Source organism: Homo sapiens, chromosome X (genome assembly GCF_000001405.40).
Source record: "Homo sapiens chromosome X, GRCh38.p14 Primary Assembly".
Taxonomy (NCBI): domain Eukaryota; kingdom Metazoa; phylum Chordata; class Mammalia; order Primates; family Hominidae; genus Homo; species Homo sapiens.
In genome coordinates, this window is record NC_000023.11 from 31,827,546 (window position 1) to 31,852,668 (window position 25,123).

General features: G+C 36.2%; 1 protein-coding gene across 20 annotated transcripts in view, besides 1 other annotated feature; it reads right to left on the reverse strand.

Moving 5' to 3' along the window:
* The window catches only part of DMD (dystrophin), a 2,220,167-nt gene that overhangs the window by 708,324 nt on the left and 1,486,720 nt on the right, over window positions 1-25,123 (reverse strand). For all 20 annotated transcript variants that reach the window (XM_006724469.4, NM_000109.4, XM_011545467.2 and 17 more), the window contains 1 exon segment: window positions 9,173-9,274. In XM_006724469.4, the coding sequence (XP_006724532.1) occupies window positions 9,173-9,274 (102 nt within the window).
* Window positions 17,534-17,734: a silencer, noted in NCBI's record as "peak7373 fragment used in MPRA reporter construct". NCBI's record gives its function as "represses an SCP1 promoter by STARR-seq MPRAs in K562 erythroleukemia cells {active_cell/tissue: K562}" and the evidence as "EXISTENCE:reporter gene assay evidence [ECO:0000049][PMID:32103011]".

Consider the following 25,123-nt stretch of genomic DNA (forward strand, 5'->3'; position numbering starts at 1 on the left):
GACTTAAATTACACCCTAGAACAAATGGACTTAACAGATATTTACAGAACATTCTTCCTAACAATTATAGAATATACATTCTTATCAGCAGATGGACCATTCTCCAAGACAGGTCATACAAGAGACCACAAAGTCTTAATAAATTTAGGAAAATCAAAATCATATCAAGTATCTTCTCAGACCACAGTGGAATAAAACTAAAAATCAACTCCAAAAGGAACCCTCAAAACTATACAAACACATGGAAATTAAGAAATCTGCTCTTGAATGATTTTGGGGTTAACAATGAAATTGAGATGGAAATTAAAATATTTTTTGAAATGATTAATAGTGACACAATTTATCAAAACCTCTGAGATACAGCAAAAACAGTGCTAAGAGGAAAGTTCATAGTGTTAAATACTACATCAAAAATTCTGAAAGAGCACAAATTGACAACCTAATGTCACATTTCAAGGAACTAGAGAAACAAGAACAAACTAAACTCAAATCCAGCAGAAGAAAAGAAATAACAAAGATCAAAGCAGAACTAAATGAAGTTGAAACAAAAAAATACAAAATATAAATGAAACAAATAGTTCTTTGAAAAGATAAACAAAATTGATAGACCATTAGCAAGATTAACCAAGGAAAGAAGAGAGAAGATTCAAATAAGCTCAAGTAGAAATGAAACTGGAAACACTACAACCTACATCACAAAAATACAAAAGATCATTCACTACTACTATGAACACCTTTATGCACACAAACTAGAAAATCTAGAGGAAATGGATACATTCCTGGAAACACACAACCCTCCTAGTTTAAATCAAGAAGAAATAGAAACCCTGAACGCTTTGGCTGGGCGCGGTGGCTCACGTCTGTGATTTTAGCACTTTGGGAGGCTGAGGCAGGTGGATCACTAGGTCAGGAGTTCGAGACCTGCCTGGCCAACACAGTGAAACTCCGACTCTACTAAAAATACAAAAATTAGCTGGGCGTGGTGGTGGGCACCTGTAATCTCAGCTACTTGGGAGGCTGAGGCAGGAGAATTACTTGAAACTGGAAGGTGGAGGTTGCAGTGAGCCAAGATCATGCCACAGCACTAAAGCCTAGGTGAAAGAGCAAAACTCCATCTCAAAAAAAAAAAAAAAAAAGAAAGAAACCCTGAACATACCAGTAACGAGCAGCAAGGTTGAATATCAGTAATTTAAAAATTGCCAAAAAAAAGTCCAGGACCAGATGGATTCACAGCTGAATTCTACCAGACATTCAAAGAAGAATTGGTACCAATTATAATGAAACTATTTCAAAAGATAAAGAGGGAATCCTCCCTAAATCATTCTATGAAGTCAGTATCACCCTAATACCAAAACCAGAAAAGGAAATAACAAAAAAGAAAGCAGCAGCACAAAAATAGCAGCACAATTTGCAATTGCAAGATATGGAACCAACCCAAGTGTCCATCGACCAATGAATGGATAAAGAAAATGTGGTATCTATATACCATGGAATATTACTCAGCCATAAAAAAGAATCTCTTTTGCAGCAACTTGAATGGAGCTGGCAGCCACTATTCCAAGTAAAGTAACTCAGGAACGGAAAACTAAATACCATATGTTCTCACTCGTAAGTGGGAGCTAAGCTATGAGGATACAAAGACATACGGAGTGATACAATGGACTTTGGGGACTCTAAGTGGGGAGCTTGGGAGTGAGGTAAGGGATAAAAGACTATTTATTGGGTACAGTATATAGTACTCAGGAAATGGATACATAAAAAATTTCAGAATTCGCCACTATAGAACTCATCCATGTAACCAAAAACCACCTATACCCCCAAAACTACTGAAATTATAAAAAATAAGCAAAATATAACTTGTACCGCACAAATAAATATGTACAATTATACACATATAAAATTAAAAATAAAAAAAAATTTTTTAATTAAGTTTCCTAAGGTAGCTACAATTGTGGCTGCTTTCTTGCCTCATATTTTTTGGATATTTAAAAAATATTAAATGATTTTTATGTTTTCTATCATTAAGACAAGGAAAAAAGCCTTCTAGAAATAGATATTATTTGATGTAGAATAAGTAAGGAAAAATAATGTATTTGTTTAATACAATCATAAAAAATCATTTGTTTAAAAAAGTAAACTAGAATATAGTTTTAAACTCTATTTGAGTTTGAGATTTTCAAAATTTAAAAATATATCTTGTGTCAATGGTTGGCATGCAATTAATATCTACTGAATAAATAAAGGACTCTACCTACGGCTGTATATATACAGGCATACATTCGAATATTGTAACTGAAACATCTATGTCTCTTTGTCTCTCTCTTTAAGTGTAACTAATACAACTGAGGACAAGAGGTGAAATTCAAATCTCTAAAATGCTTCCCTAATTTCAGCATGAGCTACTGAGTACATGAGACTTTTCACTCAAATATTCTCTCAGAAAAGAAAGTTGGCTCATATTCAAGACTTTATACTATCTCTTATGTCTCAATTATTTTATTCGGAACCACAATGTTGTATATTAGCCTGAAATAACCTCAAGAGATGTGATGCTTACATAAGTATTCTGACAGAATTTGCTTAATTAAAAAGGGAGGCAAAGAAAGTTGATAAATCTTTAGCAATCATTCCTAATGTATAGCTTCACAATCACTCGTGGCAGAGATCATTGTAAACGAGTCTTTCAAAGAATTTGTTAAAAAGCCAAACAACTTAAAAAGCAGAAAGAATATGTTAGTCTATTGGGAATTTTTAAAAGATCACATCTGGCTGGGTGCAGTGGCTCACGCCTGTAATCCCAGGACTTTGGGAGGCCGAGGCAGCCTGATCACCTGAGGTCGGGAGTTCGAGACCAGCTTGACCAACGTGGAGAAACCCCATCTCTACTAAAAATACAAAATTAGCTGGGCATGGTGGTGGGCGCCTGTAATCCCAGCTACTTGGAAGGCTGAGGCAGGAGAATCGCTTGAACCTGGGAGGTGTAGGTTGCGGTGAGCCGAGATCGCGCCACCGCACTCCAGCCTGGGCAACAAGAGCGAAACTCCGTCTCAAAAACAAACAAACAACCAAAATCATATCTAAGAAAAATGAAAAAAACAGTTTTCCTAATATTTTGTGAATGGGTATTGAAGTTTGGGATAAAAATTTCAGCGACAGCATTGAGAACGTGAAAAATAGCTCTGCTGATAGCTGGCAGCTGGCAGCTAGCTAGGCCATGATGGTCCCAGCTGGATGTTAAAAAACACTCATAGAAATAAACTAGGCAGACACAAGGCCACCCCATGGCCGTGTTTGAAACAAGACAGAGACAAGGCCTTTCTGCTATCACAGAAATGACTAATATGAGGCATTGCTGCTCCTTTACCAACGACGTGTCTAGCCCTACTTTAATCTCATCTTCTAGATAAACACTAAGATACCTAATCACTACATTGACTCTGTTTCTTGAAAGCATCTAATCCAGAAATGGCTTCTACTTTCTGAATTCCTCCTTAGAATCATGCAGCCAGCTGAACTCTGTAAGAAGCTTTTTCCAATGCCCTCTTACTGAGATGCCCACACTCTGAAGTGTTTTACGCTCTTGCTGCAATAAGGTAAATATTCTTAATTTTTTGATTACAGATATGTTGCTTGTAATCTTGGCCAGAGGGCTTTCAGAGTATTATGTAGGGATTCAAACAATGCCATATTACAAATAACTTAGCAAGGTGATGAGCTCTACAATTCTAGAATATACATACGAAGGGTTTGAATGAAATTGTTTCATAAAATATAAATGTGCCAGGTATTTCTAAATGAGTGTGTTATTTTATAAAATGTAAGACTGCAAATATGGAAATGCTACTCAATTAAGAAATTGAATATAATTAGACATTTGACAATCTCATCCATATTTCTAAATGTTTATGTTTACAAGTTGCCCAAAAATCTATTATAAATTTTTTCTCTTCTCATTGGGAAAGTGAAGCTCTCCTCAAGTTTATGCATTGGGATTAGCATTTATTCAACCTCTTATACTCCAAGACTTTTTTTTCAGTTGTAAAGCAAACTTGTATTTATTTATTTATTTATGAGATGGAGTCTCACTCTGTCACCCAGGCTGGAGTGCAGTGGCGTGATCTCAGCTCACTGCAAGCTCTGCCTCCCGGGTTCATGCCATTCTCCTGCCTCAGCCTCCCGAGTAGCTGGGACTACAGATGCCTGCCACCAAGCCCGGCTAATTTTGTTTTTGTATTTTTAGTAGAGATGGGGTTTCACCATGTTAGCCAGGATGGTCTCGATCTCCTGACTTTGTGATCCGCCCACCTTGGCCTCCCAAAGTGCTGGTATTACAGGCGCGAGCCACCGCGCCCAGTCGCAAACTTGTAATTTAAAAAAATAAAATGTTGCTATGCATTTACTTATAAATTATTAAATGCCTCTAATATTGTTATCTTCTTTCTAGAAGTCCTCTCCCAACTTATTCTGGTGTTATTGGCATGGAAATTGTGCTCAATAAATGAGTCAGTCAAAATAGACTTGTTCATTTCAGGGGACAATTTTTGTCTGTTATCTCTCTATTGATTTCTGTTGCTACAAGTGAAGTTACACCAGGTAAATGAGATTGTACGCATGGCAGATGATTTATGAAATCCAAGTATTGTTTTAAGTGTAATTATATTTATTTCGGCAACATTTCGACCAATGAAATACCATTTGACCTGCTATACCGTGGATAAATCTTGAGATGCACATCTTTTGTGAGTAATATATTAAAGATTGTTAGGCAAAAAATAAACCCTAAGGAAGTTTTTAAAAATGTTAAGATGTTGATGTTGGCAGTAGAACAAACTCATTGGGAGAAAAAAAAACAGCTTCATCTAGTTAATTAACAACAAAACAGCTGGGAAAATGAATCATCCCTGGTTGTGACTGACTGTAATTGAAAATGACTAATGATGCTGTCATTTTGCAGTTCATATCTGAGGAAATGATGCCTGGAAGATTATAATTGCCCTCTTGACCATTTGTCTACAGCAATTATTTTGTGTTAAAGGTTGGGATGGAACGCTTTGGCCAAATACAGAAAGTTCCTCACACCTTTTTCTGTTACATTGAAAAATAATTCAAGAGCAGTAAGTAAAACATATTACTAGGTTTGTGTAAGTAACATTTTTTGATAATATAAAAAGTTAGCAAAGCAAACCAGCTGGCTTCATTTTATCACTTTAGAAAGTAACCAAGACATTTAAAATTCCATTAATGCTCTCAGTTCTAATACATGGCAGGTGATGTAAGCATTGAAAGTACATAAACATATTTTTAAAAGTTAACTGAAAGTGTAGTTTTCCAACTTAAGTTAAAAATGAGTATGAATACAAGAAAATGGCACCTAAATGCTTAAGCTCAAGACAGTTAAAAATACAATTTTATAATAAAAATCAAATAACAAATGGCTTCTTTTGTAGTTTATATTGTTGTTACTGATAGCAGTTGTTTTTGCTGCTTTTAAACTGCTAAATGGGGTGCTATTGAGGACCTAGTTATTACTGTGTGGAAAAATGGAACACATTAAAGACTATTTCATCTATGGCATTAATGTAATATATTATACCAAAACTATAACTTTAGCAAAATTTTAAACAATTTATATAACTCATATAGTCAGTCTTCAGTAATTTCTGAAGTTAAGATGAAGAAATAACATACAAATAAATAAAAGTATGTGTGTAGATGGGGGAGGAAGGGGGAGAGAGAGAGAGAGAGAGGGAGAGAGGGAGAGAGGGAGAGAGGGAGAGAGGGAGAGAGGGAGAGAGTGGAGAGGGAGGGAGGGAAAGAGAGAGAGAGAGAGAGAGAGACAGAGAGAGAGAAAGAGAGTTGAAGTGCTAAACAAAGATGGAGAGGTATTTGATCATACGATCCTAAGATTTTTCCAGTTATTTTGCAGCAGAGATTAGTACTACCTATACGTCATTAGTATTATCATTTCATAATATGTATTTGACCTTTTACAGGAAGTCCTCAAAGAAAATAAAGAAGTTGGTTAGTCAGAGATTTTAAAAAAGAAACCAGAAATATACCATCTTTGAAAATAAAAGAAATCTTAAAGAAGTTGACGAAGTGAAGGAAAGAAGAAAGAGGAAAGAAACTGAGCAGGGATGAACCCAGCTTCCAATCAGAACTCAGCTTGGGAGGTGAGCGTAGGAGCTGGACAGACAGGCTGTCTGATGCAGAATGCGGAGGTGCCAATAGACAAGTCAATTTCCTAAGAAACAGAATTGCTCCCTGATGTGTCTTTAATTAGAATGTTTGTAAGCGGTGGACACACTAATTATGCATTTAAATACTAGATCTTGCATATACATCGTGAGAGATTTTCATTTTCTTTTTAAAGAATATCATTTTCTTCATAATTATTACAGTTTCCAAATGCACCTCCCCCAAAAAACAAAAACAGAAACACAATTCTCTCATGAAAATGTGCTGCAGGCTACTCAGACTCATTTCCTCTTCTATTAAGAGGTAACAAGACCCAGAGTGAAGAAGAGGCATTATAAATAGGACAAATTTTAAATTTTGATATATGGACTCAAAGTTTAAAAAGGCTTTGTTCACGTTCTATCAGAGCAATGGAGTGTCCTTCAGAAAAATCATCTCTAACCTTTAAAAATAAATTTTTGATCCATGCAGAGATTTAAACAGCCCTCACAGCTTTCTGCCTTGTATTGCTGGGTGTCATGTTCAAAACTGTGAGGTCATTTTTTGAGCCTCTAGGTGTTTCAGGCTACCGCAAACCCCAGCTAATCTTCAGATGTTTCCAAGGTCATGGTCCACAGCAAAAGTTGTGCGTGAGTCAACTATTTTTTTAAACCCCATAATTCTCAAATCATTCTTGCATTTTTGCCCCTATCAACTTGATATATATATATTTTGAGACGGAGTTTCGCTCGTGTCGCCCAGGCTGGAGTGCAACAGCGCGATCTCGGCTCACTGCAACTTCTGCCTCTCGGGTTCAAGTGATTCTCCTGCCTCAGCCTCCCAAGTAGCTGGGATTACAGGCGCCTGCCACCACAGCTGGCTCATTTTCATATTTTTAGTAGAGACAGGGTTTCACCATGTTGGCCAGGCAGGTCTCGAACTCCTGACCTCAGGTGATCCGCCTGCCTCGGCCTCGCAAAGTGCTGGGATTATAGGCATGAGCCACCATGCCCAGCCAACTTGATATGTTGATTTTTCTCCAAATCCAAGGGAGAAATGGGAAGACAGGAATAAATTTTCCCTTAAGTTCAGCTTCTCCCAATGTGTCAAATTGAGAGAAAATAGGGAAACAGGGAAGGAGAAAAAAAAAAAGGAAGGAAAAAAACAGTGCTGTCTGCTACAAAAATGGTTTTAAGGGTTGTGAAAGAGAAGGAAAGCAACAGCTCCTGGTTCTTTCTTTTTATTTCAGAAAAGTAATTCTCCTTTTACATCACTAATGCATCAGCAGGAAGCAGATATGCTCAGGCATGGCAGATCCCAGTTCTGATCTCCAAGTGGCCCAGTAGTTGAGTGTGTGGGTGGAGGTGCGATAAGTTAGCATCAAGCATTTGGATTGTTTTATACATAATGAAAGCAAAAATTTTCTCAGTGGCTTTTAATTAAGATCTCTCTCTCTCTCTTTTACAAAGGCACAAAAGTAAAAGCCAAATTACATGTACCTTTGTGATCTCTAACAATTAGTGACAAACCTTAATTCATAGTCATACACCATAAGGCATAAAGTCTTTGAGGATCAACAAAGAGTAGATAGAAACGTATGCAATTGTCCATTTGTGCACTGCATGGCTTGCTACAATGAAAGTCACCATATTAACTGCTCTGAGGGCTGGCTTTCTTCAGAACATCAACGGAAACTCTGAAATTTGCTGCTTTCAGGACTTTGCCTAGCTCTTCCAACTAAATACTGAGCACATTGTTAGCTTATGAAAAATGATTATACTGGGCTTGAACTGGATACAAACTACTTTTCTAGATTTTTGGAGTGGTTGCAATATATTTCTGAATAAAAGTATGTTGATATCTACAGAGAAACCTGTGATTTTCAGTGTCTGGTGTTTGGACATTAAGCTCAGGTGCAAACTTCAACTCTACCTAAGGAAAAGTCTCTTGTAAGCTGTAAGGAAAACAAACAATCTTCTAGAAATGAAGCTTGGGCCAAGCGCAAGGGAAACTAAGCAGCGACCTTAGAGACAGAATCTAAGTCATGGTAATGTTGTTTGCAAGGACAAACTGGTTCTGTATAATGAGGTTATTGACCTGAACTGTTTTCAAGCAGTTTTAAACATGAGGACGAGGTTCATTGTATCCAAGCCTGCAACATTAACTGAGAAACCAAGACTGATCAATAAACAGCCATGATTACAGGATCTCAGGAACCTTCATCATAATGGGAGCCATTATAATTCTGGTCAGGTACAGAGAATCAGGTAACCTACTGCTAACGTATATTTAGCACTGGACTCTCATTTGCAAATGGAAGCCATTGATTAGCTATTTTTTGAAAACTGACCTGGCTTTCCATCTCCCTCCTTATGTAATAGCCTGTGAATAAATGTGACCTAGACTTCAACATGGATATGGAGAAGAAAAAAAAGTAGAAAGGTTTATCCCAGGCCAGCTTTTTGCCAAAGAAATAAGCAATTACATGACATTTCACTAAAAATTCTTGACCCAATAAAATACTGAAGCCTCAATGCCGATTTTACTCTTTTATAAGAAAGAGCAACAAAGAAAAGAAAGGTCACGGACCATATTGTGATTCTTTACAGCTGTTGGAGACAGACACTATGATGCAGTAGCTTGATTTGAATTAAACCAAACAATATGAAAAGCATCAAGGCTGGCAAGCAAAGCAATAAAGCCCCAAAGAATTTAATCTACCTTGAAGGTGGGACTACTTTTGTATTGATGGCAGCACACCAGGACAGAAATGAGTCCTTTAAAGCAATGACTCGTTAATAGCCTTAAGATCACAATATATAAATAGGATATGCTGATCAAAAAGACAGCTTTGCCTCTGCTATTACAGTATGGCCAGTATTTCCTTACAAGTTATTTCACTGATTATAAATAGTCCACGTCAATGGCAAATGTACAACAGGGGAAGCATAACCCATTATGAGGTAATGGATATTGCTAGAGGTTGCTTCATTACCTTCACTGGCTGAGTGGCTGGTTTTTCCTTGTACAAATGCTGCCCTTTAGACAAAATCTCTTCCACATCCGGTTGTTTAGCTTGAACTGCTATTTCAGTTTCCTGGGGAAAAGAACCCATATAGTGCAGATTAACTTCACAGTTAGCAATAAAATTACTAAATTTAAATATACCCTTGGAGACTCCACATGTATTGCAGATCAATTTCTGCCTGGTACATAAGGGCACAAAAATGTAGCTTTTGGTGCAGAGAAAAGAAACAGAGATGTGAAACACATTAAACTTAAAAAAAATTCATCCAATATCTTCTTGAATTATATAATACTCATATAGAAACACAGGCATTAACTACTTTTCAAAAAAGTAAAATGCAATAATGACAATACAATTTATTAACATAATTTATATGAATAAACACTAGTTTTAGCTACAATAATCTCAATAATCCTAATGTTCATTTTACTTTATACACTTATTGTTTTACAAAATTCTGTGTTTAGTATTGGATATAAATTTTGTTTTGAAATAAATATCAAATAATTATTTCTACATCACTGTCAAAATTATTTTCTTTCCAAAGGGTAAACACTTAAAGCACAGTATCAAAGCTTATTATTTATTAATGAGTCAAACAGGCCTTCTGAAGAACGATTAATTTTGTTTATTATTTGCTTTTCTTCAGTCTGGAGAAGGCTGAAGCATGACAAAAAAAAATCCTTCAGGTATATGAATATAAGCATTTTGTTACTGTCTGCTGACTAGCTCTCTTGATGAGACGACAAAAGAATTGTGCAGAAATTGAAGCTGAAGGAAGTGAAGTTAAATATTACAGAAGACTTTTTGGATGGAACACTTGTTAAACACTAGGATAGAGTATCAATTAATCAATGTCAGGCATCAGTCAGGGCCTGGGCAATCTTCCCCAGAGAGCAGCTCCTGATTAACCCGTATCTCTCTTCCTCCCTCCCCTACCCCGGAGCCTCCCAGCACTGCTGTGTTTAAGTGTCTCCGTGCCACTGTTTCCTTCGTATACTGTGTTTGTACCTGTTCCCTCTCAGTTCATTAGTAGGAAATCCCAAATTACTATAATCTCATACTGCCCAGTACAGTCTCTTGCAATTTACGGGTGCTCAGCACATGCTCTTGAGATAGACTATTTTTTTCCAGTTCTTATTATAATAAATACCAGCAGCAAACAGGCACTTTGGTCAAAATTGTACATAACTAACCTCATGTGTTAATGGTTATGTATGCAAATTTCACTTCCTTTATAACAGTAGTTTAGCTACTTTACATGAAGAACTATTAATTGATGGTCTTACTGCCCCTTGCCAAGAAAACACATTGTTCCCTGAAAATGCAGCACCCGGAATGACTGTATGTCTTTGCTAGAGGTAGAAATAGCTCTGATCTCAGATGAGGAATAAGGAAAATCTAGTTTTACTTACTGAATTCCAAATAGGTCCCCAGCCACTATAAATTCACCCTTGAATACCGCATTTGCAAAAAAACATTTTGGTGTAGTAAATGGTGATATGGTCTCAAAATACTTTAAGAGAAAATAAAATATATTATTCTAAGGAAGTAGAGAAAAGAGCATATCTTCAGCAAGGTAAAAATGATTTAAGAAAAGGAAAAAAAGTAACTGAATTTTCAACCTATACATTTATCATTTATGTATACCATAAATTACCAGGCCAAATATACATGTACAATGTCTAAATTATACATTTGAAATTATATATGCATTACACATATAAACTGACAAGTTAACTTAAAGCACTGTCACCACCATTCATTTTGTATGTGTTTCTCTAAGACAAAGCACTATTTTCTATTTATTCACTGACAGCTGGGACTTTTCTTGTGATAGTTATTGATATAGCTAATTACTGGTAATAGACAATGTTTTCTGATTAGCTTCATCATAGCTGTAGACTATATTATTGATGATAGCATAGTTACCATTCGTATAATGACTACTATTTGCCTTCCCCAACCCTGATTCCAACAGATTGCCACTTTACAGATAAGAAAATGAAGCAAGGGTGGGTGGGATAGTAGTGACGGTAGTGACAATGATGTGAATAGCTTGCCCACAACCTCGTGGGATGTGGGAGAGTTAATATTCAAACACAGCTAGGTCTGAATCCAAAGTTTATACTATTGGCAGTAGTAACAGCTACGTCTTCATATCTTACAACAACTTAATAACATATCCAAATGATTTGATCAAATTATGTTATTTCTAAGCATTAAGAAATTTTACTTTCACCATCTGAATCTGTTTGATATTATCACATATGCTGAAAAACATGCCCTACCTCTCTGATAATAGAGAATCACTATGGGTCAGAGGGAGACAGGCAACTTAATGCAACAGTCGTCATTCCCATTCATTGGAATTTTTGAAAAATGATAGCAAAGACCATTGTTCCCACTGCCAACCTACAGTCTTATTTAAACTGTTCCAACTCCTTTGCTTCCTCCTTCAAAACACATCACAATTAATCACATTATGTGTATATGTATAGTTTTGACCATTCCTAAAGAATTATCCTCTATGAGAGTAAGACCCATAACTACCTTGTTCACTCATATCCCTGGAAGTGCCTAACACATAGTAAGTGCTAAACAAAAAACCGTTGAACGGGCAAATAAATACTGTTGCAACTTTGAGCCTATGGGAATTGAGTTAAGAGTGTGTATTACTAGAGACATTTGTTCACGCAGACAGTCGAAAGGTTCATGGCATAGACTATTTTCTTTCTAAATAATCTGCTAGAGTTAAATACAGAGTCTACTCTTCTGCTTTTGGATTTCCCGTAATGATTTTTTTTGCAAAATTTTACATCTTCACGTTATTGATTACAACAATGTCTCAGAAAACTCATTTCTATGACAAATTAAAATGGGATTATTTTATACTTAATTAATCCTTTCATTGACTTCCTTTAAACTAAAATTCCATTTATCCCACATTTTTCTTCTTAGCTGAATTTGTATAATTTAATCTCCATCTAGCAATCCAAGAGAACATCACAAATACAAATGTTTTAGCATTTATATGATTTAGCATGAATATTTTATATAACCAACATCTGAATGTGGGACCTCTAATCAGGTACTTTATAACTATTGCACTTGAAGCATAGTAAACATTTATTAGTTTTGATTTGTAATTCCAGTAGAAGAGTAAACTTGGAAAGGCTGGAGGATCATATTTCCTATACAAATCTAAAAACTTCTATGAGTATTAAAACCTGTGATGTACTAGCATGGAAAAGCTCATCTTTCCTTTCAAACACTCCCACTTCACTTTTCTTTTTCACTCATCGAGCATAGGAAGTCAATATTCTCCTCATATTCCCTTAAATTTAATGTGTCCCTCTGTCCCCCAATACAGATCATTTGTATTTGATACATTTGATCTAACTTTTGTTTTCATAGTATTTATACATTAAAACCTTTTGCACTGAACACCAAACTACTTATATTATTCCAACCTTTAAAAAAGATTTATATTTCTAAAATTGGAGTGCGTATTCAAAAGATACCTGCTGCATCATCTATTCAATATATTTATAAGCTAGAGATTGGGATACAGCACTAGAAAATTTTCAATTTACAATATGAATATATGTGTGTGATATACATGTATATACATATATGTGTATTAGATATGATAAATACACATATCAACATATATGTATAATATGCACATATAATACACATACACATATGTGTGAGTGGATATATAGACACATGTATGTATATGTACAGGTATACCTCATTTTACTGAGTTTTGCCTTATTGGCTCTGCAGATACTGCTTTTTTTTTTTTTTTTTTTTTACAAACTGAAGGTTTGTAGCAACCCTGCATCAAGCAAGTCTATCAGCAACATTTCCAACACCATGTGCTTACTTCATGTCTCTGTGTCACAATTTGATAATTCTCACAATATTTCAAGCTTTTTCAATATTTTTATAACTGTTATGGTGATGGGTAATCAGTAATCTTTGATGTTACTATTTTAATAGTTTCAGGGTGCCACAAACAGTGCCCATATAGGATGGCAAACTTAATCCATTAATGTATGTATTCTGAACGCTCCACTGACCAGTCATCCCCCTACCTCTCTTCCTCTCCTTGGGCCTCCCTATTCTGAGACACAACAATATTGAAATTATGCCAGTTAATAACCGTACTATGGCCTCTAAATGTTCAAGGGAAAACAAGAGTTGCATGTCTCTCACTTTAAATCAAAAGCTAGAAATGATTAAGCTTGGTTAGGAAGGCATGTCGAAAGCCAAGAGAGGCTGGAAGCTAGGCCTCTTGTGCCCGTTAGCTAAGTTGTGAATGCAAAGGAAAAATTCTTGAAGAAAATTAAAAGTGCCAGTCTAGTGAACATGCAAATGATAACAAAGCAGAACAGCCTTATTGTTAATATGGAGAATGTCTTAGTGGTCTGGACAGAAGATCAAAACAGCCACAACATTCTCCTAAGCCAAAGCCTAATCCAGAGCAAGGCCCAATTCTGTTCAGTTGTATGAATGCTGAGAGAGGTGAGGAAATTGTAGAAGAAAAGTTGGAAGCCAGCAGAGGTTTGTTCATGAGGCTTTAGGACGAAGCCCTCTCCGTAACATAAAAGTGAAAGGTGGAGCAACAAGTGCTGATGGAGAAGCTGCAGCAAACTATCCAGAAGATCAAGCTAATATCTAAGATGATGAAGGTAGCTACACTAAACAACAGATTTTCAGTGTAGATGAAGCAGTCTTCTATTGGAAAAAGATGCCATCTAGGACTTTCATAGCTAGAGAGAAGTCAATGCCTGGCTTCGAAAGTTCAAAGGACAGGCTGACTCTCTTTTGAGGGGCTAATGCAATTGATGACTTTCAATTGAAGACAATGCTCATTTACTATTCCAAAAATCCTAGGGCCCTTAAGATTATGCTAATAGACTCTGCCTATGCTCTATAAAGGGAACAACAAAGCCTGGATGATAGCACATCTCTTTACAGCATGGTTTACTTACTGAATATTTTAGGCCCACTGGCCATACCTATTGCACAGAAGAAAAAATCTCTTTCAATATATTACTGCTTGTTGATAATGCACCTGGTCAGCCAAGAGGTCTGATGAAGATGTACCAAGAGATTTTGTTTTTATGCCTGCTAACACAACATCCATTCTGCAGTCCTTGGACAAAGGAGTCATTTCAGCTCTCAAGTCTTATTCTTTAAAAAGTACATTTTGTAAGGCTATAGCTGCCCTAGGTAGCGATTCCTCTGATGGATCTGGGTAAACTGAAAATCTTCTGGAAAGGACTCACCATTCCAGATGCCATTAAGAAAATTTGTGATTCATAGAAAGAGGTAAATATCAACATTACAAGGTGTTTGGAAGAAGTTTATTCCAACCCTCATGAATGCCTATGAGGGTCCAAGACTTTAGTAGGGGAAGTCACTGGATGTGGAGAAAATTGCAAGAGAACTAGAATAAAGTGGAGCCTGAAGGTGTAACTGAATGGCCGTCATCTCATAATGAAACTTCAATGGATGAAGAGTTGCTACTTATAGATGAGCAAAACAAAGTGTTTTCATGAGACAGAATCTACTCCTGGTGAAGACGCTGTAAACAATGTTGAAATGACAACAAAGGGTTTAGAATATTCTGTAAACTTAGTTGGTAAAGCAGCAGCAGGGTATGAGAGCCTTGACCTCATTTTTGAAAGATCTACTGTGGGTAAAATGTTATCAAATAACATCACACACTACATAAAAATCTTTTGTGAAAAAAATCAACCAACATAGCAAACCTCATGGTTGTTTTATTCTAAGAAATTGGCATAGTCACTCCAACCTTTCAACAGTTACTACTCTGATCGGTCAGCAGCTATCTCCGTCAAGGCAAGACCCTCCATCAGCAAAAAGATTAAGACTCATTGAAGGCTCAGATGACTGCTAGCAAGCTTTAGCAACAAAGTATTTTTTTAAATAATTTCAACTATTGTTTTAGATTTAAGGGGTACATGTGCAGGTTTGTTACATTTATATATTTATTGGGTGATACTGAGGTTTGGAGTATGATGGATCCTGTCACTGAGATAGTGCGCACCGTATCTAATAGTTAGTTTTTCAACTCTTGCCCCTTCCTTATCTCTTCCCCTACTAGTTTCCAGTATGTACTGTTGCCATCTTTATGTCCATGAGTGCCCAATGTTTAGGCCCACTTATAAGTGAGAACAAAGTGGTATTTGGTTTTCTGTTCCTACTAATTCATTTACGATAATGGCCTCCAGTTGCATGCATGTTGCTACAAAGGACATAATTTCATTCTTTTTAATGGTTGTGTAGTATTTCATATTGTATGTGTACCACATTTTCTTCATCCAGTCCACCATTGATGGTCATCTAGGTTGATTCCTTGGCTTTTCTATTGTGAATAGTGCTGCAGTGAACATACAAGTGCATGTGTCTTTTTGGTAGAATGATTTATTTACTTTTGGATATATACTCAGTAATGGGATTGCTGGGTTGAATGACAGTGCATTTTAAGTTGAGAAATCCCCAAACTGCTTTCCACAGTGGGTGAACTAATGTACACTCCCACCAACAGCGTATAATGTTCCCTTTTCTCTGCAGCCTCACCAACATCTATTGTGTTTTGAGTTTTTGATAATAGGCATTCTGACTGGTGTGAGATGGTATCTCATTGTGGTTTTGATTTGCATTTCTCTAATGATGAGTGATGTGGAGCATTTTTTCATATCTGTTAGCCACCCGTTTGTCTTCTTTTGAGAAGTATCTATATATTCATGTCTTTTGCCCACTTTTTACATGGGGTTATCTGCGTTTTGCTTGTTAAGTTCCCTATAGATTATGGATATTAGATCTTTGTCTGATGGATAGTTTGTGTATATTTTCTCTCATCTTGTGGGTTGTCTGTTTACTCTGTTGATAGTTTCTTTTGCTGTGTAGAAGCTCTTTAGTTTAATTAGATCCCACTTGTTAATTTTTGGTTTTGTTACATTTGCTTTTAAGGACTTAGTCATGAATTCTTTCTGAAGGCTGATGTCCAGAATAGTATTTCCTAGGTTTTCTTCTGCGATTCTTCTAGTTTGAGATTTTATTGTATTGTATTGTATTTATTTAGGGACGGAGTCTCGCTCTGTTGTCAGGCTGAAGTGCAGTGGCGCAGTGCAATCTGGGCTCACTGCAACCTCCGACTCCCTGGCTCAAGCGGTTCTCCTGCCTCAGCCTCCCAAGTAGCTGGGATTACAGGGATGCGCCAGCATGCCCAGCTAATTTTTTTGTATTTTTAGTAGAGACGGGGTTTCACCATGTTGGCCAGGATGGTGTCAATCTCCTGACCTCGTGATCCACCTGCTTCAGCCTCCCAAAGTGCTGGGATTACAGGCGTGAGCCACCGCACCTGGCTGAGATTTTATTTTTTTAAATCTTTAATCCATCTTGAGTTAATTTTTGTATATAGTGAAAGGTAGGAGTCCAGTTTCATTCCTCTGGATACGGTTAGCCAGCTATCCCAGCACCGTTTATTGAGTAGGGAGTCCTTTCCCCATTTTTTTTTTTTTTGTTTACTTTGTTAAAGATCAGATGGCTGTAGGTATGCGGCTTTATTTCTGAGTTCTCTATTCTGTTCTACTGGTCCAAGTTTCTGTTTTTGTAGAAGTCCCATTCTCTTTGGGTAACTGTAGCCTTATAGTATAGTTTGAAGTTGGTTAATATCATGCTTTATTCTTTTCACTTAGCATTGTTTTTACTCTTCAGACTGTTTTTTAGATTCATATGAATTTTAGGATAGTTTTTTATAATTCTGTGAAAAATGACATTGCTAGTTTGATAGGAATAGCATTGAATCTGTAGATTGCTTTAAGCAGTATGTCCATTTTAATGATATTGATTCTTCCTTTCCATTAACATGGAATGTTTCTCCATTTGTTTGTGTTATCTATGGTTTCTTTCAGCAGTGTTTTGTAGTTAGCCCTGTAGAGATCTTTCACTTCTTTGGTTAGATGTATTCCTAGATATTTTATTTTTTGTGGTTATTGTAAATAGTTTGCATTCTTGATTTGGCTCTCAGCTTGAACACTGCAATAACATATTTTTAAATTAAGGCATGTACATTAGTTTTTAGGCATACACTATTGTATACTTAATAGATTACAGTGTAGTGTACACCTGACTTCTATATGTACCAGGAAACCAAAAAGTTCATGTGACTCACTTTATTATGGTGGTCTGGAACTGAACCTTCAGTGTCTCAGAGGTATGCCTGTATATGTGTATACATATATATATATATATGTATATGTGTGTATATATATGTATATGTGTGTATATATATGTATATGTATGCTATGAAGAAAGATTAAAAAGAGTAAGTAGAGAGTGACAGTGGGCTCTATTTTAGGCAATGTGAGCACAGAAGACTGCTCCTCTCTTCAGGAAATGGAATGAAGTGAAGAAATGAGTCATGTCAACATACTGAAGACTATTTCAGGCAGAGGGAAAAGCAAGTTCCATTGCCAAAAGGCGGTGAGGAGTTTTGCTTGTATAAGGATTTGAAGTAGTACAATGCTCTGTTAACATAAATATGTACAGAATCATTCAGGTGTTATAGAGGACAGAATAAAGTCTCTCTCTCTCTCTCTCTCTCTCTCTCTCTCTCTCTCTCTCTCTCTCTCCCTCTCCTCCCGTCCCTCTCTTTCTCTCAAGTTGATTGTATATACCAAGAGCTTAGTACTTTGTAATATTTCTTGGATACCAACCCTGATTTGACTCTTTTAAGATGATAACTCTAGCGGCAGATTGGAGGCAAGATTTTAAGGATAAGGGGCTGGTGGAAGAAACATAGGAAATGCCTTTAGAGGTCCGAGTACTTATTGAACAAACAGGAGCAGCACGGATGTTCAGGAAGTATTATTCCTATGTTGTGGATAAAGGACTGGCAGGACTTGATGGGGAAAAAGAAAATTTTCAGAATCACCAAGATTTTATAACTTGGGAGAAACTGTCTAGGGGTACAGGGAAGACAGAGGAGCCTGTCCCTATATGGAAGGAATAATGTTTTCAGGTTGGAGACATGAGTCAAGATGCCTGTGATTAACACTGATGCAAATGTACAGAAAGTAATTGCAAAAAGAAGCGTAGTGTGCAGATTAGGGGTAAGGCTAAGAATACAGGTTTGGAGGTAAAAATAGTAGTTGGACAATATTGTCCCAGTGATACTTGTAGAGTGACTGAAGAGGATAGAGCCAGAATTAGGTATTCGCCTCCACAGGATAAGAGAAGAAAGTTGAACCAAGAAAAGATAGAAAGAGCAGAAGAGACTGAAACAAGAACATGTAAAAACCCAAAATAGAAGTGAGGAGAGAATTATATGAAAAGGGGTGCCACCATGTTACATATTACAGATAAGCAAGGAAGCTCAAGAAATAATACAAATAATAATACTGAATATATCCTTCATTGGAGGTTAAATGAAATAAGGTTTTATATCCAATGTTCTCGGTTTACTTTGTAAATACTAGCTCGTGGTCCCCCAAATTTACTACATGTTCCCATTTTTAAAATTCAGCAAACAGATTTAGGTAACAACAGTAAACTTACTAGATATATCTTACAATGGGAGCAACTATAACAAGGTGAGTAAAACAAATGAATGGGAACGTTTGCTCTGGAAAATCAAGAAATACACACACACACACACACACACACACACACACACACAATCTTTAAGGATAGTTATTAATTATGGAAGAAACAAACCTAAAATTATGAGAGTATTAATTCATCCTATATGATAAAAATTCTTAACATTTTAAAAAAGTCTTGCAACACTGTAACAAATTCAAAAGGCTGGATATTTCTTCCTTTAAAATTGCTTACAAGTACAATCCAGTGAAAATTCTGTACCTTTAGAAAATGAACAGAAATAGTCAAAAATTTCATCTGTGTTTCTTGTGTGCAGCCAAATGACTAGCATCCTTCTCTATCCACTCCATATTCTTCAATCACCCATAAATAGTTCCAAAAATCATGAAGAATAGATACCACTACTCAGAAGGCACTGGCAGATAGATAGGATCAGGAGTCTGCTTTGACAACTACAAGGAATTTCCTTAAGACATCCACATACAAATTTTAATTAATAAAATTGTTATTGGCGAATAAACAGAAATGGCAACAAGGCTGGCATTTGAGTAGTCCAAGTATTACTTAGAGCTCCAAAGTACTAAGTGGGTGCTTGCTACATGATGGACTGAAGAGCAGGTGGCATGCCAAATGAAATGTCCATATTTTTCACTTGCAGGAAGTAGAATATTCCCTGTTCAAGTCACCAAAATAGCCCTAGATTTAGTCCTCTGGTGAATGAACATTGCATACTCACATCATTTCCCTCTATTGAAATGTTTCCTATTACCGTGTCCTTCTATCATCACTATTGTCATCTTTTCATCCTTCAATGACATAGTACAGATTTTAAGTACCCATATGAGATTTATTCTCAGTTCTATAGAAACAGAGCAATGGGTGAAAGAATTCATTTCAGCTCTAAATTCTTTGTGGCTACTTTTCCTTGGCACATTTTTGGAGAACTGGACCTCTAATTAAATGCACCTTTGATAGATCACTTTAGAAAGACCATTTTGAAGATAAATTTCTACAATTTACCTCACTACATTTATTTGCAGGTTGAATTTATTAGTTCAAAGATAGGTCAGTTATTAAGGGCAAGATACTATTGCTTGAAGGGTCAACTGTAGTAAATCCAATTAACTTCACTGAAAATATTCTTTCGTACATATTTTCTTCAGTGAGTATAAGGAAAATAAACTGTAAGAAACTGACAATTATCCTAAAAATTAAAGAATATGTGAAATAAATTGTAAAATTTGTTATTTCTCCATGCAAATAAAATGTGACATAGAAAAGCTAAAAAACAAAGCAAGAAACAACTCCAAAGAAACCACATGAGATGGAAAGATCAGAAAATGCTACTAAAATTATTAGCTGTGCTGAAAATGGCAACTAACTGCTATAGTGATATTAACTGCTGTGATAATATTAACAAGCTACAGTTGCTAAAACATTTATTATATGTCAAACACTGTGCTTTTCATACACACATACACTCCTACAAAGAAAGTTTTATCTAATTTCACAGATGCTGCAATTGAGAGAGATTAGGTCAATTATCCAAGACCATGTGGCTTGCAAATGGCAGAGTTGAGATTATATCCAGGAAGTATGTGTCACCAAATCTCTATTTCCTTCTTTCTGAATCTGTTGTGTATACTGTGTGTGTGTGTGCATACACGCACATGTGCATATATGCTTATTATTTCTTTCCAAAATTGACGTTTCTTAATATTATGTTAATTATTTCTCCTCCTCTTGAACTCAAATACATTCTACAATATTCTTCCAGAATATAAATGAGAGAAAATCCTGTCCCTTCTCACAAAAAATGAAATAAAGTTTTACATAGCCTTGTAATAGCTCTGAGGGTTTCTCTTAGTGGGTTTATGATTGCCAAACCTCTGATATCCAGGTCAGAGAACTGGTTTGAGCAAACCTTTTATCTCGCAAATGGCCTCACATCTTTATATGATTTCAGATAAGGTGAAGAAGGCCACCACTAAAATGGAAACATAGCTAATTATAGTGGCCGGCTTGTGTAAGGAGAAAGTGTTCAACTTCAAAGAACATTCAGACAAGAAAGTCGTCATGGGATTTCCACCAAAAAGTCTCATTTCTAATAACAGAACATTTCCATTAAGGTTTTTTTTTCCTCCATGCCTTATTCTTAATGTCCCCTCCAATGCAAGATTGTGTACCAGGTGTTAAGATCCTTATGATACGAGGAGAGTTTGATTTTCTTCATAGTATTGATAGTTCACTACAATGTCAGGTATAATTTTAAGAAAATAACTTGTATTAATTAGGTAATAGGGAGTAATGGTTCAATAACAGTAGGAGAATTTCATGGTCTCTTCTGAAATCCAGCCCTGATAGGTTTTTGAAATGGAGTAACTCTAAGCACCTTTACTTTTATTTATCTCTTATTAAATGGCATTACTAATAATGGGCAGTTGCTGATCTGACAAGCAGTGAAGCAAAGATTAGTGATGAAAAGAGGTAGAAAAAAAAAACCCTTGAGGGTAAAAGTAGCAAGTCAGAGGCAAATTAATATATATTTACATTTTCTAATAATTGATTTATTCAACATATTTCTAATTCTACATCATGCCGATTGTGTGTGCGTGTGTTTAACTAGAAATTTGGTGTTCTTAGAAATAGTACAAAAAGGAAAAAATTCTTCCTTGTTTTCCTTTCTTGTACTCAATTTCTTTAAATTTTCATTTTACCTACTAATAACCTTAGAATATATGATTATATATATATTAAGAATATATATCTCAAAGCACATTATAAGGAGGACATAAACAACCTTTCCATGTATGTTCAAACATTTATTTATTTATTTATTTATTTATTTGCTCATTCGACAAACATTTATTCAGTGCTTACTATGTTTCACTGGGGTAGGAATGGGGAGTGCAGACACACAAATATATACTACATTTAGAGCAGGTCAGGTATAACAACTAGTAAAGTGCAATGTATAATGGAGCACAGAGCAGGAACTGATCACTTTTGTGTTTGATAGACAAGAAGGTCAGGACAGAAAGGCTGGGAGCAGAAACAGCTCATGCACCTCATTATAAGGGGATGGACGGCAGAGAGAATGTATTCCAAGAGGGAACATGGAACATGCAAAGACAGGAAGCAGAAGAAGTACGGAGCTATCACGTAGGGGAATGGGAAGTAATGGAGTAGAAATAGAAAGCAAAAGCCAGAGAAAAGAAGGATCTTGTATACCACCCTCAGAACTGTAGTGGAGAAGCTACAAGAGTTTTAAATAAGGGAATGGCACTTATGTTTTCCAATTGATCTTCTAAATATATATGAATATATATTTATAAATGAAGGTATATGAATATGTGAATAAATAGACATAAGATCTACTATTAATGCTTGGTTTTCTAATCAAATAAGCTGATCTGAATGAGATATAAATATTGCTACAGAAAAAAGAAATTCAAGATAAAAATGACAACTTTTTTGTAAACATTAAGTGTCCATTCACTTAATTTTTTTTAACTTTTATTTTAAGTACACGTGCAAGTTTGTTACATAGGTAAACTTGTGTCATGAGGGCCTGTTGTACAGATTATGTTGTCACCCAGATATTAAGCCTAGTACCCATTAGTTATTTTTTCTGGTTCTCTCCCTCCGCCCAACCTCCACCCTCTGATAGGCCCCATTGTGTGTTGTTCCCCTGTATGTGTCCATGTGTTCTCATCACTTAGCTCCCACTCATAACTTACTTACTTATAAGGAGTGCCTTCTACCATTTGGCTATTTTGTCAACCCCACAATTAACAGTTTTTCTATCTAATCTATCATTGATGATAAGGGCCACTATTGTTATGTAAACTAAGAAAGCCAAAAAACAAAAAAACCTACACTTTGTAAACATTATCTATTGTACGATATATCTCAAGTTCAGAGGTGTTGAAATACTAAAAAATGCATTTGGGAATCAATGAAATCCTAAGACATTTGTGGATACTATGGTTGATTTGTCAGTTCATTATTATTCATTTCCTCTCTTAATATGGCTGCCCTGCAGTGAATATACTTCCCTTCCCATTGACTTTGGGCTTGACTGTGTACCTTTGACCAATAGACCATGGACAGACAGAAGGGACTGTGTGGCAGCTCTTAGCTGGAACTTTAAAGGCAGTTCAAGATTTGCTGGTTCCCCTTGTTCTTATCTTCCATCATGAGAGAATAATATGCCATATAAAAGCTGCTCTTTCCGCTAGGGTCCTGGGATGAGAAGACATTTAGAGCAGATCCATATTCTAGAATGAAAAGACCTTAACTTGATTCATAGTGTGGAGTAAAGCTGCAGCTGATCTGCAGACACATGAGTGAGTAATAAATGTTTGTTGTTATATGTCACTGGAATTTTGTCATTGTTTGTTACTGCAGCAAGAGCTGACAATTACAATATTATAGTAAAACAAACAAACAATATGTGATTTCTGGGACAAAAAAACCAAAGTAAGCCTTTAATATAAATGTGCCCTGGTCGCATATATTGACTGCACTATCTCTCATTCCATACAGAAACTGTTTGCTAAAAAGTGTAGCAAGAAACAAAATATGAAATGGAATCAATATTGTGTTAGAGCCTGATTTCTGCAGTCCAGATTGTCAGTCAGACTCTGACAAATGAAGGCTGATGGATGGAAAAACACAACATTGTTCAGTTGAGTTTCTTTGTCTTTCCTCTCATGTTGGGTGACTGTTCTTTTACTTAACTACAATTAGGTTTGCTAGACCACTGCAACACAGCTCTCTTTCACTATAACTGCATGCTGTCAAGTACGTGCCAACCTGATTGACAAAGAATGACAGGTTCTCTCTTCCCATTTTGAACTAATCAAGGGCAGCTCACCAAAGGGAGACTTAAAAAAAAAAAACTTAGAGATTTATGGATTTCAAAAATAATCTGTCCAAATATACAAAGCATAATGCAGCATTGATTTTTAAACTGGAAAGTGTTGTGAAACTGTGAAGATATAATCTACTAAGCTGCATACTTGAAATGTTCAAGGCCAGTGAAAGAGTGGGCATAGGTGTGACCATCAAGTAACATCCAGAAGCCTCTATGGAAGCTCTCCACCTTAAAGTGGGGGTTTCAAAGTCTTTTTGGCAGAATTCTTTTGGCAAATGAAATATTACCAAAACTCTTCCAAAAAATCACTTGAGTCATTCCATAAATATTGACAGATTACTTATTGTCTGCTAAACATTGTTTGAGGTACTAGATATGTAACAGCGAATAAAACAGACAAACTTTTTGTGTCCTCATAAAACTTACATTCTAATGGTGATAATGTGTAGTAAAAGAGAAATTAAGGTGCTTTGGAGAGTGAAAAGTGCTAAAGAACAAAATGTAAAGCACTGGATAGGAATAAGAGACTTAGGTATGGGGCAAAGGGAGGTGGCATGTGGAGAGTTTAGAAAGTGCCTGCAGGGAAAGCCTCACTGAGTAGGTGGTATTTAAATAAAGATCTGAAGGAAGTGAGGGAACGATTCAAGTAGCTATCTCAGGAAAGAACAATCTGTGCAGAGACAGCAAGTGCAAAGGCCCTGGGGCAGGAGTGTATGTGTATGTTCAATTAAAAAAAAAAGGACACCAGGGTGAGTGGAATCTAGTGAGCAAGGGGAGAGTAGTAGGAATGATAGTCATAGAGTTGGGGATGGAGGAGGATAGGTCCTGCATCTTTGGAAGGATCTTGGCTGTTATCCTGAGTGAGATTAGGAAGCATAGGAGAGTTTTCAGCAGAGGAGTGATGTGATCTGACTTATTTTTAAACAGATCATTCTGGCTGCTGTATTAAGATTAGACTTTAAGAATGCAGAGAACAGATGGCAGTTAAGAACAGATTCTTAAGGGGGTACAATCTGCATTGTTTGGATGGAAGGACTTTGTGAAAACCTGAAGCCATTATTTTGGAAAACTTTATACATACAGTTCTTAACTAAGGGCCAAAGCTCTGGTCTGGTTTAATAGCAGCACAGGACACTGCTTAGAAGAACATTCATTTAAACTGGTACTCCCAGGTCTTGCTGCCTTCCTAAGTCCTTACTGGTGAAGAGTATGGGCTCTTGAGTCTGGTTATCTAGGTTCCAATCCTAGCATGAATTGACTATTTCCAACAGAGACCAAATGGCCCATGAAGCCTCAAAAACTGACTGAAATTTTTCTATTTGGCCTTTTAAAGAAAAAAGTTGGCCAACACTGATGTAGAGAAACGGTTAGGTTCAGGCTCTGTGGCTCTAAAA